Raw genomic sequence first — 20,059 nt, 5'->3', positions numbered from 1 at the left:
TCCCTGGTTCAAGCGATTCCCCTGCCTCAGCCTCCCGAGTAGCTGAGAATACAGGCGAGCGCCACCCCGCCCGGCTAATGTTTTGTATTTTAGTAGAGACAGAGGTTTCACCTTATTGGCCAGGATGGTCTCGATCAGCTGACCTCGTGATCCACCCGCCTTGGCCTCCCAAAGTGCTGGGATTACAGGTGTAAGCAACCGCGCCCTGCCCGGCTGCCTGCTTCAGCTTTTAAAGCGTTCATGCATTATCAATCACTAGATAAACGGCGGAGATTATATCTTCCCAGAGTCCTAAGCCACTAGGGTTGTGTCTCTGTGGCACAATCAGTTGTCGCATCCAAAAGGCCTAGCTAACTTTTGTATTTTTTGTAGAGAAAGGGTTTCATTATGTTGCCCATGCTGGTCCCCAAACTCCTGAGCTCGGGCACCTCCGAGGTCTCCCAAAGTGCTAGGATTACAGGCATGAGCCACTGCACAGGGCCTTATACAATGCTTCTAATTTCAGCACATTTAGCAAACTTATCTTCTGCGGGAGAGGTACCAAATCACATTCCAGTTTATTTCTCAACTCTAATAATGTCCCTTTCTTCATTTACTTGCTGACACAACAAATTTTCTCCCCTCCCGTACTTTTTGTTTTGAGACTAGGTGTCACTCTATCACCCAAGATGGAGTGCAGTGGCATGATCTCATGTCACTGCAAACTCACCGCCCCTGCAACCATGGCACTAGTGATCCTCCAGAAGAGCTGGAACTACAGGTGTGCACCATCAAATCCAACTTTTTTTTTTTATTTTTAGAGATAGGGTCTTGATATGTTGCCCAGGTTGGCCCCAGGAACTCCAACTTCTGGGCTGAAGAGATTCATCTGCCTCGTCCTCCCAAAGTGCTGGGATTTCAGGTGTGAACCACTGCGCCCAGCCTAACAAACTTTCTATACATGTGCCCATGATATTCTTTTCTTCCCCCCCCCCTTTTTTTTTTTGAGACAAAGTCTTGCTCTGTCACCCAGGCTGGAGTGCAGTGGCGTGATCTCAGCTTACAAGCCTGCACCACCACGCCCGGCTAATTTTTGTAATTTTAGTAGAGACAAGGTTTCATCATGTTGGCCAGGCTGGTCTCAAACTCCTGACCAGCCTCCCAACATGCTGGTATTACAGTCATGAGCCACCACCCCCAGCCATGTGCCAATGATATTCTAATAAGGGGACAAATGCCTTTCTGGCTTAAGTAAGGGGGAGGTTAAACAGAAGGACATGGTGGACATTACACACAGATATTCAGTTGCATAGGATGGACAGCTAAACTTCTAAGACATTTTATTTTATTTTTTGAGATAGGGTCTTGTTCTGTTGCCCAGGTTGCAGTGCAATGGCACGATCATAGTTCACTGTAGCCTCAGCCTCCTGGGCTCAAGTGATCCTCCTGCCTCAGTCTCCCAAAGTGCTGGGATTACCAGCCTGAACCACTGCACCTGGCTGAGATATTTTAAAGTCCTCCAACGTCTGTAATTGTTTCTTTTTTATTTTATATATTTAATAAATATATACATATTATTAAGATAATAAATACATACAATTATATATTATGTATAATAAAATATGGTATATATTTTATTGTATATATTTATTAAGAAATATGTATTTTTTAGAGATGAGTTCTCACTATGTTGCCTAGGCTGGTATTGAACTCCTGAGCTCAAGTGATACTCTCATCTTGGCCTCCCAGAGTGCTGGGATTATATGTGTGAGCCACCATGCCTGGCCCTGTTTCTTTTTCAAATTTAATTTATTTATTTAGAGACATGGTTTTACTCCGTCATCCAGGCTGGAGTGCAGTGGTTTAATCATGGTTCACAGCAGCTTCAACCTCCCCAGGCTCAGGTGATCCTCCCACCTCAGACTCCTGAGTAGCTGGGACTACTAGCATACACCACCATGCCTGGCTAAATTTTGTATTTTTTGTACAGACAGAGTTTCATCATGTTGCCCAGGCTGCTCTCCAACTTGTGAGCTCAAGAGATCCACCCACCTCAGCCTCCCAAAGTGTTGATATTACAGGCATGAGCCACTGTGCCCAGCCTGTAATTGTTTCCTGTGATGACCAAGTCACATTGGTCCAGAGAAGACAGGTCACAGTGACCTCTTTGATAGCTTTCTGCCAAGTTGCTTATCCAAAGGGAGCAAAATCACAATGGTCCCAGTCATTTTTTTTCTCCTCCCCTTTCCTCTTCTCTTTATAAATCTTGATTTTACTTTTATTTGATGAAAACAATCTAATGCCAGTTTCCTTCTATATTAATGGAGAATGAGCATGCAGACAAGTGTCTCCGTATTATTAGCCTCGACGGATTTCTTTCAGAGGCTATGTCCATAAAAATTAATCCATCTGACACCCATCATTGGAGCCAACAGAATCCTGCACCTAACAGGCCCCTGGTGCAGACCTGGATCCTTAGAGATATTGGCTCTTGTTCCCTTGGTTCTTGTTTTCATGAGCAGAAGTTGAGCTGTTTTGCTTTTTATATACTAAGTATGGTCATTGAGCAAGTCCTTCCTTTCTCTATCTCCCTCTCTCTCTTTCTTCCATCACTGTTTTCTGCCATCAGTGGCATCAGTGTGGGTTTCTGGTTTTGATGTTATGAAGTGAATTTCTGGGGACAATCTCTGTTAGGTGGTGTTTGACAAGGATCCAGTCCCTGTTTGGTGATATATGAGAGCTGATCTGGTCTGTGAGTCTCTTTTGATGGTCTGTTCATTGTCCTGAGGATAATGGTATTTCCTGATATTTGAGACTGCAGCAATGAGAAGTTGCTCATATCTTGTCTTTCCAATGTTTGGTAACAATTTTTTGGGCTCAATAGCTGTCAATATTTGCAAGAGTGGCATCTCTATTATAAAGATGATCTTACTACTCAATGCCCCCCGTAACCCGCCACTGAACTTCATTCCATAGGAGCTCTTGGCTTTAACAGATTACTATACCTAAAAGAAATCTTAGTACAGAAATAAAACTAAGTCTGTAGCATGAAAGGAGCAGTTTTCTTTGATTCATACACTCAGTTTTCTACCAGCTAAAAAACTCTAACCAGCTGAAATATATGTCCTTTAAGGATTACGTTTAAATCACACTACAGAAAGGAGAAAAGAGATTTATATGATCACAAATAAGCAATGGAGTCAGCAACATAAGCACTTCTCTAAACTCTACAAATCAAAATTTTTTTTGCTTAAGACAGAGTCATGCTCTGTCACCAAGGCTGGAGTGCAGTGGCACGATCTTGGCTCACTGCAGCCTTGGCCTCCCGGGTTCAAGCGATTCTTGTGCATCAGCCTCCTGAGTAGCTGGGATTACAGGGATGCAACACCATGCCTGGCTAATTTTTGTATTTTTAGTAGAGATGGGGTTTCGCCACGTTGGCCAGGCTGGCCTTGAACTCCTGAACTCAAGTGATCTGCCCACCTTGGCCTCCCAAAGTGCTAGGATTACATGCGTAAGCCACTGCTCCTGGCCACAAATCAAATTTAATAATCTCCAGAAAATTAAGGAAGTTCAGCTCTTAATGAAAATGGATTAAAAAAAATGATTTACTCACTTTTATATGCTCCGGAAAGAGAATGCCCTGCCAGACTCAAAAGGGTATCCCAGAATCACTCAGATTTTCAGCAATGAGGGTTTTCCAAGGATCTAATGATGTTCATTTTTTCAGTTTGTTTCCCTTACTGATAAGCATTAATAGATACCACTGCATCTGTTTTCACCTTAAATGATGTTACTTAACGCAATTATTTGCTTTTGAATGCCCCCTAGATTGGTGGAAAGAAATTTTCTAATTTATAAATTTTTTTCTTATGAAACCAATTGTCATACTCTTCCAGTGGAGTGAATAGATAAATTAAGTCCCTAAAGCTTTAAAGAGATTACTGCCCCAATTATCTTAAAGACAGTAATAATTACATATATAAAATTAAAATATGGAAATTAAGCAGGGTGTGGTGGCTCACACCTGTAATCTTAGCATTTTAGGCAGCTGAGGAGAGAAGAAGGATTGAAGCCAGGAGTTTGATACCAGCCTGGGAAACATGGTGAGACCCCTGTCTCTACAAATTTTAAAAAATGAACTAATTTAAAAAAACTAGCCAGCACAGTGGCTCATGTCTGTAGTCTCAGCTGCTTGGGAGGCTGAGGCAGGAGGATCGCTTGAGCCCAGGAGATCCAGGCTGCAGTGAACTATGATTGTAACACCACACTCCAGCCTGGGTGACAGAGTAAGACCTCAACTCAAAATAAAATAAAATAAAGAATAATTTATGGGCTTTTTTTTTCCTGCAATGCCAGGCTGGTTGACTCACACCTGTAATCCCAGAAAATCAGGAGGCTGAGGTGGGAGGAATGCTTTAGGCAAGGAGTTGGAGACCAGCCTGGGCAACAGGGCAAGATGCCGTCTCTAAAAAATTAGAAGGCGGGCTGAGCTGGGAGGACTGCCTGAGCCCAGAGTTCTAGGCTGGTCAGCTGTGGTTACATCAGTGCACTCTCACCTGGATGACACAGCAAGGCACTATTACATTTTTTTTCTACTTAGCTTTAAATGTGATGTTTCATTAGGGAAAATTTTTCTTGTTGAATTTGTAACATGAAAAACGAATAGATTTAGCTATAGATTAAATTAATGGTCTTGGCTGGGCATGGTGGCTCACACCTGTAATCCTAGCACTTTGTGATGCTGAGGCGGGTGGATCATCTGAGGTCAGGAGTTCGAGACCAGCCTGGCCAACATGGTGAAACCCCATCTCTACTAAAATTCAAAAATTAGCCAGGCATGGTGCCTAGCGCCTGTAATCCCAGCTACTCGGGAGGCTGAGGCATGAGAATTGCTTGATCCCTGGAGGTGGAGGTTGCAGTGAGCAGAGATCATGCCACTTCACTTTAGCATGGGTGGCACAGTGAGAGTGTGTCTCCAAAAAAAAAAAAAAAAAAAGAAAGAAAGAAAAGAAAAGAATTTTTCATGTGAGGAAAATGAGTGCTTTCAATTTAGCATGCCTAAAGCTAGGCATTAAAATGAGAGAGCAACCACATCCTACTTCCTGCTTTCTAAATTTTTTTAAGTTAAAAAATATTTTTTTTATTGTATTGAGATGGAGTCTCACTCTGTTGCCCAGGTTGGAGTTCAGTGGCAGGATCTTGGCCCACTGCAACCTCCTCCAGCCAGGTTCAAGCAATTCTCCTGCCACAGCCTCCCGAGTTGCTGGGACTAACGTCGCGAACCACCACGCCTGCCTTTTTTTTTTTTAGTAGAGATGGGATTTCCTCATGTTGGCCAGGCTGGTCTCAAACTCCTAACCTCAGGTGATCCGCCAACCTCGGCCTCCCAAAGTGTTGGAATTACAGGCATGAGCCACCACCACCGGCCACTTCCCCACTTTTGAGCTATGTATGCATCCACTGAAACTGCTTGCTATTGCCACAGTTAGCTATAAAGTAACCTAAACATGCTGCTCTGGACACCATCTCTCACTCCCTGTAGCTGAACAATGTATAGCTAATCAATGTTATTTCTGTAAACCACTGGGAGTTCCTGACAAGCAACTTTTTACCAGCCAACTCCCTGACTCCCTTTTTGGTCTTTACAAACCTGCTTGTAACAAAGGCCAAATAGAACCGATATCCAATATTGTTTGGGTCTGAGCCTTCCGGGCAACTACATTCACATTGGCTCAAACAAACTCTTTAAATCATATTTTGTGCTTAAGCGCCTTCCTTCTATGTCAATGTTTTTGGCCCTGGGAGCAGGATTCAGACTGACTCATCTCTGACCATCTGACTGTCCTCTCAAAGTCCTCCAGGGTGGCTAAATAGTAGTAAGAATTTTATTGGTGATATAAGTTTGCAGTCCAGGAAGTGACAGTCTCCGGTGTGTGTCTTTGAAGAGGCACTTTCTCTTCAGAGACAGAGAGAGAGGGCAGGTTGGTTTTTGTGCCTCACAGGGTGTGTATCACACAATAGAGTCATACATATTCAGTAGGTTTGGGGAAACACCATTTCTGAGGAGTATTGAGCTCATGTGCAATGGGTAAACATATATGTAACATGCACCCCATCTTCACAGATGGGGAAGGGATTTTAGCATAAAATAAGGCAGAAATTGGCTCTTTATATCAAAAGGTGAACTACTGGACACGAAGTTGGTTTGTGTGCAGTCCCTGTAACATGGCTGAAACTGGCTTGATATCTGCAGTTGCTTATTAGGAAAGAATGGAAGGCCACTCCTCTGTCCCATCAGAGCTCTAGTGATCTGGCTTGTAAATCCAGTTGAGAAGGGCTGGGAAGATTTTGACAATTTGCTTGCTAGCTCCTATTGTTAAGGAGTTTAGCAAGAGTGTGGTTTTTCCTGTAGCCATAGGAATTCAGGAAGTTGCCATGCCAGATGAGCCCTGAACCCTGGACAAGTAGCTAACTTTTGTTTCCTTAACCTTACAGTCTGTCTTAGTCTATAAGGGGGCATGTATTTTCATCTCTCAGATCACACCACATTCCTCCTGGACTGGGTGCCTGGCCAGCTCTGAAGCCTTCGAGTACTGACTCTGAGAGAAACACTGGTTGATTGAAGTCTTGGAGTTTGCTTGAGTGTCCTTTTCAGCTCTCCCTTTCTAGAACAGAGGTTTTCTGTCTTTACCCTGTGGGTAAGAGATTTGTGTTTCAGGGGGAAATAACTGCCTTTTCCACCTCTGCATCAGGACAGAAGGTTTGGGTCACAGTCAGGCAAAGAGCTCCCCAGAGAGCTTCTGCCTTTTCTGCCTCTATTCCTCAGCAGGAAGTTCTGGGTCAAGGTATTGGCAGGTAGGCCCTGGTGGTTTTGTTTTATGTAGCATGTTGTTTTGAACATTTGGACTTAGGTTTTCATTTGTGACTAATTCCTGTTAGTTCTTAACTGGAAAGTGCATGGAGGTGTGTTCCCCTGCCCTGAAGAAAAGAAGTGATCTGCTCCCGCTGATCCATTCAGGTGCTCCAAGTGATCGGGGATGTTGCAGAGGTGTTGGGGTCATTAGTCACCATGTGAAGGTGGCCTTATAGGACACTTCCCATCAGAAGAACACTTTTATCAACCCCCTTTCCTGCTCTTCTGGGAGGATATATGTGGGACTCTGTGGCCACCTGGTGGTTAGAAACAGTGGAACCACTGAGACAGTGACACACAACTCCGGTGTTATCTGTAGGAGTGACTTCATAAGCACCACACTGTGACCCAAAACACATCGCAGGCCTTGGTCATCTGAAAAGCTCCTGAATTATGGGAAATCAAGCTTCAAAATTCAGCACACTGTGAAGAAACAACCACCTTTAGAAACACCAGCTGGGTTTATGTATAACACTTATGAAGCATCCTCTTGTAAATATCCAAGAAACTGGACCCACCTAACCATTTCCTGGTCATTTCCTAAGTCATAAGCAGAATGAAGAAAATTGGGATCTTTTGAAATGCTTAAAATAATTTATTAGTGTGCACAATTGGAAAATTTTTGTTTTTGTTTTTTTGTTTTTTGTTTTTTTGATGGAGTCTTGCTGTGTCACCCAGGCTGGAAGGCAGCGGCATGATCTCGGCTCACTGCAACCTCCGCCTCCCAGGTTCAAGCGATTCTCCTGCCTCAGCCTCCCAAACAGCTGGGACTAAAGGGACACGCCAGCATGCCCAGCTAATTTTTGTATTTTTAGTAGAGGCAGGGTTTCACCATGTTGGCCAAGATGGTCTCCATCTCATGACCTCGTGATCCACCCACCTCAGCCTCCCAAAGTGCTGGAATTACAGGCATGAGCCACCGCGCCTGGCCAAAAAATTTGGTTTTAGAACCAAATTAAATGGGAGACATACTTCCAATGATACCTAGAAATTTCTAAAAGAACTGAGAAAATTGCCTCCAGTGAGGAAGTAAGCTGAAGGAAGTCATCTGACACGTTTTCTGAATTGAGAAATATTGAGGAGGCTTTGTCTCTTTCGCCTCCAACTGCTGCTTCTCCTCCTGCCCCTGCACCTGCATAGTCTCCCTTACCTGAGCCCTCTGGTCCTGCCTTGCCTCTTCTTCCATCACCATCACCTGAGGAAAGTCCCCAGGGCTCTGGCCCCTTCCCTGAAACTTCTGTTCTGACAGCCCCTTTCAAGGTAAAACCCACAGGAAGAGGGGAGCCTACCATTCTGTATACTGCTTCACCAAAATGTGAATTAAGAATATTATAAAAAGACTTCCCTGGGCTGGGCGCAGTGGCTCTTGCGTGTAATCCCAGCACATTGGGAGGACTAGGCAGGCAGATCATGAGGTCAGGAGTTTGAGAGCAGCCTGGACAACATGGTGAAACCCCATCTATACTAAAAATACAAAAATTAGCCAGTCATGGTGGCACATGACTGCAATCCCAGCTACTCGGGAGGCTGAGGCAGGAGAATCTCTTGAACTTGGGAAGTGGAGGTTGCAGTGAGCCAAGACTATGCCATTGCACTCAGCCTGGGTGACACAGCAAGACTCTGTATCAAAAAAAAAAAAAAAAAAAAAAAAAAGACTTCCCTGATGAAAATTTACATGAATTTTCCCCTTCTTTCTTTCTTTCTTTTTTTTTTTCTCTGCTCAGTGCAACCTCCGCCTCCCGGGTTCAAGCAATTCTCTGCCTCAGCCTCCCAAGTGGCTGGGATTACAGGTGCCCACCACCATGCCTGGCTAATTTTTTTGTATTTTTAGTAGAGAGGGGGTTTCACCATCTTGGCCAGACTGGTCTTGAACTCCTGACCTTGTGATCCACCCGCCTTGGCCTCCCAAAGTGCTGGGATGACAGGCGTGAGCCACTGCACCCAGCTGAATTTTCCCTTTCTAATTCAAAAGCAACCTCCAAGATCCTATAGGGTTTAGGAGAAAATTTGACTTAATTGTCCAAACTTTTGAGCCTGGATATTCTGATCTTTATCAATTAATTCACATGTTGGTGTAAGAAGGCAGGGCCACTAAATGGTTGGAAAGGGTGAATTGGAATAATCCTTTAGAGGGTTTTTAAAAACAGACAGAAGCAGACAATGAAAGGGTCTGCATTTTTGCCAAATACCTCCATGTTGCCATTACCCAGGTTGTTCCCCAATATGTAGATTGGAGAATTCAGCAATGCACTTAAAAGGCCAAACAAATCTGTCATTGATATTTTAAATGGTTAAGATTTATTTATTGATTTATTGAGACAGGGTCTCACTCTGTCACCCAGGCTGGAATGCAGTGGCTCCATCATGGCCCACCACATCCTCAACCTCTCAGCTCTAGCAATACTCCCACCTCAGCCTCCCGAGTAGCTGGGACCACAGGTGCATGCCACAATGCCCAGCTAATTCTTTGATTTTTTTTTTTTTTTTTTTGTAGAGAGGACATCTTGCTGTGTTTTCCAGGCTGGACCTGAATGAACTCCTGGGCTCAATCAATCCTTCCACCTCAGCCTAACATTTACACTGGGAGCAGAGATGCATTTGGAGTAGGTGATGATTTTGGAATGCTTTAGAAGCAACATAGGTATCTGATTTCATCAGGTCAAGCCATCAAAAATGACCAATAAATCTCTGATCTCTTAGAAGCAATTTGAAAACCCTTATCTTTGGCCATCATCAAAATTCCTGGTCATTCAAAACTAGATATTCCGGAGAGCAAGGACAATCATTTTGCTGATGCTGCAGCTAAGAATGCAGTTCTGAAGGTGGCATCAGACACAGAACTTCTCGAAATGACCTTGCTGACTTATGACCCATTGAAGACTTCATTAGAAGTAAAAGTGGGCTGGACATGGTGGCTCATGCCTGTAATCCCAGCACTTTGGGCGGCCCAGGCTGGTGGATCACTTGAGGTGAGGAGTTTGAGACCAGCCTGGCCAACATGATGAAACCCTGTTTCTACTAAAAATACAAAAATTAGCTGGTGTGGTGACACATGCCTACAATTCCTGCTACTTGAGAGGCAGAGGCACGAGAATTGCTTGAACCTGGGAGGCAGAGTTTGCAGTGAGCCGAGATTGCTCCACTGCACTCCAGCCTGGGTAACACAGCTAGACTCTAGCAAAAAAAAAAAGAAGCGTAAGTGGGAGCTCCTAAGCAGGAGAGGGATCTCTGGAAGGATAAAGGGAACAAGTTTCTTCCAGAAACAGGCTTATGGTATGGGCCCAATGATACACTGATCCACCCCTTAGGCTTCAATTACCCTGAATACAGTACTTCATAAGCTGCCTCATTGGAAATCAGATAAAATGTTAGCATGGGGAAAGCAATGGTATTGAAAATCATTGCCTATGATTGCAGAAAAGGTTTATTCTTGTGGTACTGTTTGTCCCAAACATCACCCTGGAAAGCCCCTTCATGGGTCACAAGGACATTTTAACTTTAGGACCCTTCGAGACATGGCAGTTAGACTTTATCCAGCTGTCTCCATCTCAGGGTCACAGATACTTTCTGGTGTTAATTTGTACGTGCTCACTGGGGTGAGCATTTCCATGCCAATGAGCCACAGCCCAAGTAGTAGGTAGATTGTGATTAGAAAAGGTAATTCCTGGCTGGGCGTAGTGGCTCACCCCTGTAATCCCAGCACTTTGGGAGGCCAAGGTGGGCAGATCACGAGGTCAAGAGATCGAGACCATCCTGGCCAACATGGTGAAACCCCGTCTCTACTAAAAATACAAAAATTAGCCAGGCGTGGTGGTGCACACCTGTAGTCCCAGCTACTCAGGAGGCTGAGGCAGGAGAATTGCTTGAATCTGGGAGGCGGAAGTTGCAGTGAGCTGAGATCGTGCCACTGCACTCCAGCCTTCCAATAGAGCTAGTCTCCATCTCAAAAAAAAAAAGAAAAGAAAAGGTAATTCCTCATGGGGAGTGCCATCTGAATGCCATAGCAACTGAGGAACACACTTCATTGGTCAGGTAATTGGATCCATTTGTAATGTTTTGCCTATGTCCCAACATTTCCATTGTGCCTGTCACCCATAATCCTCTGGGCCGATGGAATGTACTAATGACACAATAAAAACTCAGTTGGCAAAGCTAACAGAAGTTTTTAACCTTTCTTGGCCAAGGATCTCCCACTGGTTCTGGAAAATGTCCACACTCCCTCTCTTTGAAATAATAACGGAAGACCCATGCAGTGGTTAGATGAAGGCGCTTATGAATCTGCACTTCTTAAAGGTGACTTTCTCCATTACTGCTAAGATCTCTCAAAACTTACTAAGAACTCCACATTAATAAAGGATTCCTTTCATAATGCACTCCTGGGAGATGAAAATACTAAAAATCACGGCCTATAACCTGGAGATGTTGTTTACTAGAAACAACACCAAATAAAATATTCCCCCCAAGACTGTTGGAAGGGACCACATCAGGTATTATTATTATTTTATACATTTTTTTGAGATGGGATCCCATTCTATTCCCCAAGCCAGAATGCAGTGGCACAATCATGACTCAATGTAGCCTTGAACTCCTGGGTTCAAGCCATCCTTCTGCTTCAACCTTCCAAATAGTTGGGACCACAGGCATGGGCCACTGCACCTGACTCACAACAGGTATTACTGACCAATCTGTGCCATTAAACTTACGTGCGTTGACACACGGATTCATGTTTCTCTTGTAAAAGGCAACCCTGCCAGAGTGAACATCTGTCAGGAGATTTTCACTTAAAGGTAACTCAATCTTCCTGACAGAGATGGCAAGTAGCTGACATCTGTGGTAGTCCGCTTTCACCCAAGATACTGGCCTGTATAATCAGTTACAATTCCAGTGCTCACTGCACCTGAAAGAGTTAGTCTCTTTTTTGTTGACTGGAATACACACACCATTAGGGCTCCTTTAAGTTGTAGGGGTTGTCTCTTGGTGGTTTTGGTAAAATCACCCTATATGCATATTCTCTTAAGATATGCCACACTAGTCCTATTGTGTGTATGTGTATATACATATACATACATACATAGCAAAATACTTATGATCAGATTTCTGTTTTACTGTCCCTAACTAATTTGATTACAGCAGGGAGGGATAATTCTCTGATCAGAATCTCACAAACCATTACCTCTGTGGGAAATTTGACAAGGTTCCAGGTTTGCCACTCAGAACCACAAACCACTTTTGACCGTAATGACCCATTGGTACATCCTGTGCTAAATTTCACCTGTATTCCTCCTGATTGCACTCACGATGCAACTCAGGGTCATATCAAGCAAAACCTGTTTATCTAATCTGTCTGAGTCACCCTAACCTTCCTGGCACACGTCTCAGTTTAACCATCATAATCGTATTGTCAAAATAACTGCCTGTAATCCCAGCACTTTGGGAGGCCAAGGCAGGAGGGTTACTTGAGCCCAGGAGTTTGAGACTAGCCTGGGCAAAATGGTGAAACACTGACTTTGTAAAATATATACAAATTAGCTGGGTGTGGTGGTGTCCACCTGTAGTCCAGCTACTCAGGAGCATGAGGTAAGAGGATGACTTGAGCTCAGGAGTTCGAGCCTGCAGTGAACCCTGATGATGTCACTGCACTCCAGCCTGGATAACAGAGTGAGACCCTGTCTCAAAAAATAAATAAGCTGGGTGTGGTGATGTGTGCCTGTAGTCCCAGCTGCTTGGGAGGCTGAGCCATTGAGCCTTGGAGGTCTAGAGGTCAAGGCTGCACTGAGCTGTGACCTTGCCACTGCACTCCAGCCTGGGAGACAGAGTCCTTGACTTAAAAAGTAATTATAATAAAAATAAAAAGTACAAAACCAACCAAACAACAAAATTGTCACTTCACTCTGAAATAACAGTGGTAAACACCATGATGCTACTGGAAAGTTAAAAGAAAAACACTCGGACAGTCGCGGTGGCTCAAGCCTGTAATCCCAGCACTTTGGGAGGCAGAGGCGGGCAGATCACAAGGTCAGGAGATCGCGACCACCCTGGCTAACACGGTGAAACCCCGTCTCTACTAAAAATACAAAAAATTAGCCGGGCATGGTGGCAGGCGCCTGTAGTCCCAGCTACTAGGGAATCTCAGTGTGGCGTCAACCTGGGAGGCGGAGCTTGCAGTGAGCCGAGATTGTGCCACTGCACTCCAGCATGGGCGACAGAGTGAGATTCCGTCTCAAAACACACACACACACACACACACACACACACTCTCCTGCTATCAGGATCCAGCCTGCCCTCTTGCTCTAAATTTCTGACCCACGATTTTAATGCCCAAAAGCTGATGTACTCAAATTATAGTGCACTTACCTGTTCTGCACCCGCGTTTATTTTTGTCTCTTGAAAAGATCACCATCCATGGCCCTATAAATGTCTTAGGAAATGGAATGATGAAGTGCAATGTCATTATTGTTATGTATTTCTCATCGTTTTACTTCTGAGAAAACTAATTTCATGGTATTCTGAAGACTAGAGATGATTCAACAAGTGACAGAAGCTGCAGACTTAACTGAGGCCTCTCTGTCTCTCTTTTTTTTTTTTTTTTTTTTTTGAGACCGAGTCTCACTCTGTCACCTGGGCTGGAGTGCAGTGGTGTGATCTTAGCTCAGTGCAGCCTTGAACTCCCAGGCTCAAGCAATCCTCCTACATCAGCCTCCTGAGTAGCTGGGACTAAGGTGTGTGCCACTACACCTGGCTATTTTTTGTGTTTTTTGTAGAGATGGGGTTTTGCCATGTTGCCTAGGCTGGTCTCGAACTCCTGGACTCAAGCAATCCACCCATCTTGGCCTCCTGAAGTGCTGGGATTACAGATGTGAGCCACCGTGCCTGGTTGTAATGCCCTTTCAATTGGACTTTTGGGCATTCTTAAAAATTCCTCAGTGAGGTGGCTTCTTTCCTCCCCTGTCCCCTGCCTGGGACAGGACTATCCAGGAATAAGCCTTTCTGGCAAAGAGGGACACCTTGAATGAGCTTTTGATCATCAATGCTTTCAAGAAGAAAGTTTTTTAAAAATGTTTTATCTGAGGAATGTGAGCCCTCTCAGATGATCAGGCCCAGAGAGAGGTTAAATCGAGACAGCAACCACTTTCTGCTCCTTCCTTTTGAGCTGCACTGAGCTATGTATTCATCTGTTGAAACTGCTTGCTATTGCCTCAAGTAGCTGTAAATTAACCTAATAATGCCACACCAATCCCTGTACCCCCATACCCTATAACTTAACAACATATAGCCAATCACCAATCAATGTTATTTCTGTAAACCAATGAGAACTCCTGACAGGCACCTTTCTGTCAGCCCACTGTCTGTCCCTGCTTTTGACCTTTAAATACCTGCTTGTGACAAAGATCAAAGGGAGCTCAGATCCAAGGTTCCTTGAGTGTGAGTCTTCCAGGCAGCTCTCTTCATGTTGGCTCAGGTAAACTCTAAATTATATTTTGTGCTTCAGCCTCTTTCTTTTAGGTCAACATGCTCAACAATAGCAGAAGAAATAAATAAGTTAGTGTATATTCCTACAAAGGAATACACATAGAAACAAATAACCATATGAATAACATGAAAAATTCATAGACATAAGACTGAGTGAAAGAAGTCAAACCTATGCCTCTGCTTCTGAAACCGCCTTTGCAAAAGTTACAACTGGGACAATTATCACAGTGAAAGAGATCTGACCTAACTGATTCCATCTTGTTTCTAACGTCCAAGCTGTCCTTGTTGATTGCTGGGCACAGGCCGAAATAACTTTGGGAGGAAATTAGTTTATGGTTTAGCTGTGAAACAAAGATGATAATATCATTTTCCCAAAGCAAACCCCCTTCCTGCCTGGGGACTAGACTGCCTTTGCAGGACTAACAAAGTAGCCCTGAGATTAGAAATTATGGTTTAGGAGTCATGTAGCCTCTGGCTGCAAGATTCTAAACCTCCCCAAATTGTTCCTGGAGATCACATCGTTATTGGAAAACCTAAGATCAGTGCTTGAGATATTTTGCCGACCCTGCACTCAGTGGATCAGCTGGCACCAGCTAGACTGATAACCTGGCTCATCTGGTCTTGTGGCCCCCACGCAGGAACTGACCCAGCAGAAGACCACAGCTTCAGCTCCCTGTGACTTCATCTCCGACCTGACCAATCACAACTCTCAACTCACTGGCCCCCAACCACCAAATAAAAAGTGCAGGTCTTTATTGCAATTCCCCTGTGTCGAAAAATTGGCTCTGTCTAGGCAGCAGGCAAGGTGAACATGTTGGGCAGTAACACTCCCCACAAAACCCACTACACACTGTATGACTCAGCTTATATGAAAGTGAAGGGCAGGAAAAACTTGCCTGATAGATTTGCAGAGAGGGGGGTGGAAACCATTAATAAGTCTGTGGAGTATTGTCAGAGTTTGGTGTTGTAGTCTACATATTAAAAGTAATCAGTTAAACACCTGAAATAAAATTTCCCCCAAATATTTTTGCCAAATTTGGATGACTTTGTTTCTGTCTTTGCAGCATATAAACTGTTAACATGAGGTAAGCGCCAAGGTCTAGAGAAGGCAGTGGAAGAGATGGCAAACTCCGGCACCATGTCTGCGTGTCCAGTGTGCTCTGCTGGAGCAGCACATTTTTGTACATTGCTGTATTTGAAAAAACCCTGCAAGAATCATGAAACTGGACGACCATCTTTATAACACTCCCAGTGATAAAACAAGTAAGAATGGCTGGTTTGTAGTCATCTGAGCAGCCTCTCTAGTTTCGTAGATATGGTTTCTCTCTGATATCGAACGACTTCCAATGTCAAGCGGAATGCTACATCACAAGGATAACCGTATGTGAAAAGAACCAGTTTTCTTTGTAATCCTGAACTTTCTAGTTTGCGCATTAAAAGACATTATTTGAAGAAGAGCGCACAGGCTCCAGCTGGCCGCCAAAGGGGTCCTTGGCATCACAGACTAAGAACCTACTTCTCTGGGAGAGACCAGGGGCGTGGATGGGAGGGAAAAGAGGGAGAGGCAGGCGTCACTTCCTCCGCCGGCTCCCGCAGCGGGTTCATCGGCTGAGGTGGCAGAGGGTGGGGCAGAAGAGCAGAGCCGGACCGGGAAAGGTGCTGTCGGTGACATCACGGATAGGGCGATTCCTGTGTAGATGAGGCATCTCAGGGGCTGCTGCTTCGCCACGGAGGATTTCTCCTGCTGTGGGAGCAAGTCCAGGACCGCCGGTTGGACGTGATAGTCCCAGCTGTGTGTCAGGGCTAGGAGGGCTGGGGGTGGGGGTGGGGGGCGGTGGGGGGTTGCGCGTGGGAAGTGACCGTGCGTGTAAGGGGTGAGGCGTATGGAGCTGTGGCAGGGCGGAGGCGTATGATCTCATACTTACCTGGCAGGGGAGATACGATGATCACGAAGGTGGTTTTCCCAGGGAGAGGCTTATCCATTGCACTCCGGATGTGCTGACCCCTGCCGTTTCCCCAAATGTGGGAAACTCGACTGCATAATTTGTGGTAGTGGGGGACTGCGTTCGCGCTGTCCTCTGAATTTTGTGCTGGAAAACGCAGATTGTATGTGAAGGGATACTTTTAGTAGTGCATAATATGGGTGGTGTCATGTTATTTTTACAGTTGGATGGCTGGGGAACAGAAGTGGCATGTCGTTGTCCTCGCTGGAGAAGGAACAAGCGTCAGCCGTTGTGAGCCTGTTTATCACAAGTTAACTAGCGCGAAGGCTGCATAGCTTTTCCCTTTGAACATAAGGCTGCTTATTGCAAAAATTGATCCATGGTCTCCAGTCTCTTGGGGTCTCACGCTCTGTGAAAATCTTCGTGTTTTCCCCTAGGCCCCTGTCACCTTTTACACAGCCTCTGTTTCAGGATTTCTGTGCTAGCGAGGAATCAGTTCTCACCTCATAGAGCCAGGTGGAAACTACGCAGACAGGCACTCTTCTTTGGGATGAAAGCAGGGCCTTTGGGGCTCTTAGTGTCCCCGTTCGGTTGTAGACATAACACGCTTGCTTTGTGTAGGAGAACGGCTCTGCCAGCGCCCAGGTGTCCTAACGCAATTCATCGAGGCCCGCAGGTCAGAACCGCAGTCTCACTTGTCTTGGCGGAAATGCGCTGCGATCCTCCCTGCACTACATGAACACGAGAATTCCACTACAGAAGAAAACCCCAGTCCTAGTGATGGCGGTTCTGGGCATTTTGCCAGCCTCTCCCAGGGTGTGTTTTCTGACCCCACCCACTTCTGATCTGTAATGTCCTGGTCAATAGAAACTACCTGGCCCAAACGGAAAAGGCAAGGAGGAACACAGCGGGAAAGCCTATGGCGTTCCCTGGTGGCTACCCCGGGGACTGCACTCATAGATCCGCGTGTTCCGAGAAGCCTCTGCCATCCCGACTAGGGTGCGGTGCAGAAACCCGCGGCTCCAAAGAAAACCGGCTAGAACGCACAGGAAGCCCAGCCAGTGTTCAGGACACTGCGAGTGGAAGCCATACGTCCTACGGACTGATCTAGTTTGATGAAGACGAGCCATTTACTTCTAACCCCAGCAGCGGACATTGCCTTGCTCAAATATAAAATATATGAACCAAGACGAAAGCAACTTTCATTGCGTTACTAATGAGCAAACGGGTTTTTAGAATGGTTAAGAAATGTCCCTTGTTTTGGGACCGTCATCACTAACGTATGCTTGGGATTCCTGATCGAGGAGTTTCTGAGCAAAGCAGCCCACCAATCCAGTGGCTGAGAACGGCTTGGATATTGGCTTCCAGGCGCATCAGAAATACCGAGGTTCTGACAAAGACGTGAGCTTCTGTCTGCCTTTGGGAAGGCCTTCTTCCAGTACTGGCGCTGCCGCTTGCCTTCTGTTTGACCTGGGGCCAGGTCCTTCAATTTGCTAGGCTTCAAGTTGGAAAGTGTTACAGGAAAATAATAAGACGAAGTACTTCTTAGAGTTATTGCACAGATTACAGAAGATAGTCTAATAGTACAGCTAGCATCCTGTATGGCTTACATTAAGGATTTGCTGATAGGAAACAACATCCCAGATAAAGTTTTTTCCCCCTTAATTATGAAATATAACAAAGGAAATTGTGTAGGCTTCTGCTTCAGGCCTCTGTAAAATTTGAATGAATTTTGCACTTATGAAGATTACGTCCTTTTACAAAATAAGTTAATACTAAAGAATGACAAACGGAATTTACAAAACAAATATTAACAAAAAGAACTTGTTCTTAGCAGCTTTGTTTACAATAGTCCCCAAACTGGAAACAGTTCATATGTATCAAGAGGTTAATGGACCTTTTGTGATATATTCATCCAATGGAATACCACCCTCAGTAAGATGGGACAAATTATGGAAACATGAGATAACATGGGTGAATCTCAAAAGAGTGCATTCTGTGTGGTGCCATCAAGGTGAATTTCTGGAACAGGTGAAACTAACCTGTATAGTGGCAGAAAATACATCATTAATTGCTGGGGTCAGGGAGTCGAGGGGACTGACTGCAAAGGGCACAAGAGGACCTTCTGGAGTAGTAGACATGTCATCAAACTTGAAATGGATGTATTGTACCATATTCAACCAATGCCTTAATCAATTTGATTGTAAAAAGTAGTAAGAAAACCACTGCAGGCCAGACGTGGTGGCTCACGCCTGTAATCCTTGCACTTTGGGAGGCTGAGGCAGGCGGATCACCTGAGGTCAGGAGTTTGAAACCAGCCTGGCCAACATGGAGAAACCCCATCTCTACTAAAAATACAAAAAAAATTAGCTGGGTGTGATGTAGACGCCTGTAATCCCAGCTACTCAGGAGGCTGAGGCAGGAGAATCTCTTGAACCTGGGAGTGGAGGTTGTAGCATGTGGAGATCGCGCCACTACACTCCAGCCTGGGTGACAGAGCAAGTGATGCTGCTCTAAAAAAAAAAAAAAAAGAAAAAGAAAAAGAAAACAAAAGAAAAAGAAAAAGGCCGGGCACAGTGCTTCATGCCTGTAATCCTAGCACTTTGGAAGGCTGAGGCAGGCAGATCACAAGGTCAAGAGATCGAGTCCATCCTGGCCAACATAGTGAAACCCCATCTCTACTAAAAATACAAAAATTAGCTGGGTATGGTGGCACACGCCTGTAATCCCAGCTACTTGGGAGGCTGAGGCAGGAGAATTGCTTGAACCTGGGAGGCGGAGGTTGCAGTGAGCTGAGATCGAGCCACTGCACTCCAGCCTGGGCAACAGAGAAAAACAAAACAAAACAAAACAAGAACTCCATCTCAAAAACAAACAAACAAACACTGCAAATCATAATGCATTCTACTTAATTTAACTTATGTTTAGCTTTAGAGGATTCCTTTAGAAAAGCGTCTCTCTAAATGTGATTGAGAGTTCAGGAATTCCTTCGTTTCTGTTTCTGTCTCTTTGTCTTCAGTTAAATTCATGCACCATTAAATGGAATATTTGTTTTTTGTTTTTTGTTTTTTGTTTTTTCGTTTTTGTTTTTTGTTTTTTCGTTTTTGCTTTTGTTTTTTTTTTTTTTTTTTTTTTTGAGACGGAGTCTCGCTCTGTTGCCCAGGCTGGAGTGCAGCGGCGCCATCTCGGCTTACTGCAAGCTCCGCCTCCCGGGTTCACGCCATTCTCTCGCCTCAGCCTTCTGAGTAGCTGGAACAACAGGCGCACGCCACCGCGCCCGGCTAATTTTTTGTATTTTTAGTAGAGATGAGGTTTCACTGTGTTACCCAGGATGGTCTCGATCTCCTGACCTCGTGATCCACCCGCCTTGGCTTCCCGAAGTGCTGGGATTACATGCGTGAGCCACCGCGCCGGACCCAAATGGAATATTTGTAAAATAAAAATAGAGTCTAAGCTCAATATTAGAAAAGCATATATATATATATACATATATATATGTATATATATATATGTATATGTATATATATAATATTTAGCTCCTATATATATGTATATATATAATAGATAGCTCCTATATATGTATCTATATAATAGCTCCTATATATATGTATATATATAATATATAGCTCATATATATATATATATATTTATTGTTCTGTTTTTTCTTTTGCAGGGGCGTTGGGGGGACAGTCTAGCTAAAATATACATTCTTCTCTCTGTAGATATACCAGAAGAACATGATTCAATCAGT

General features: G+C 44.5%; 2 non-coding genes across 2 annotated transcripts; both read left to right on the top strand.

Moving 5' to 3' along the window:
• Positions 9,396–18,873, top strand: LOC124904396 (uncharacterized). The gene is made up of 3 exons (XR_007066537.1): positions 9,396–9,498; positions 15,430–16,157; positions 16,532–18,873. It is a non-coding gene; the product is annotated as an uncharacterized LOC124904396 (transcript).
• On the top strand, positions 16,283–16,446 carry RNVU1-1 (RNA, variant U1 small nuclear 1). Its single transcript, NR_104082.1, has one exon. It is a non-coding gene; the product is annotated as an RNA, variant U1 small nuclear 1 (small nuclear RNA).
• Positions 18,874–20,059: the final 1,186 nt, after the last annotated feature.

Source organism: Homo sapiens, chromosome 1, assembly GCF_000001405.40.
Source record: "Homo sapiens chromosome 1, GRCh38.p14 Primary Assembly".
Lineage (NCBI taxonomy): Eukaryota > Metazoa > Chordata > Mammalia > Primates > Hominidae > Homo > Homo sapiens.
Note: the sequence above shows the minus strand (reverse complement) of the source record. Positions and strands in the feature narration are given on the sequence as shown.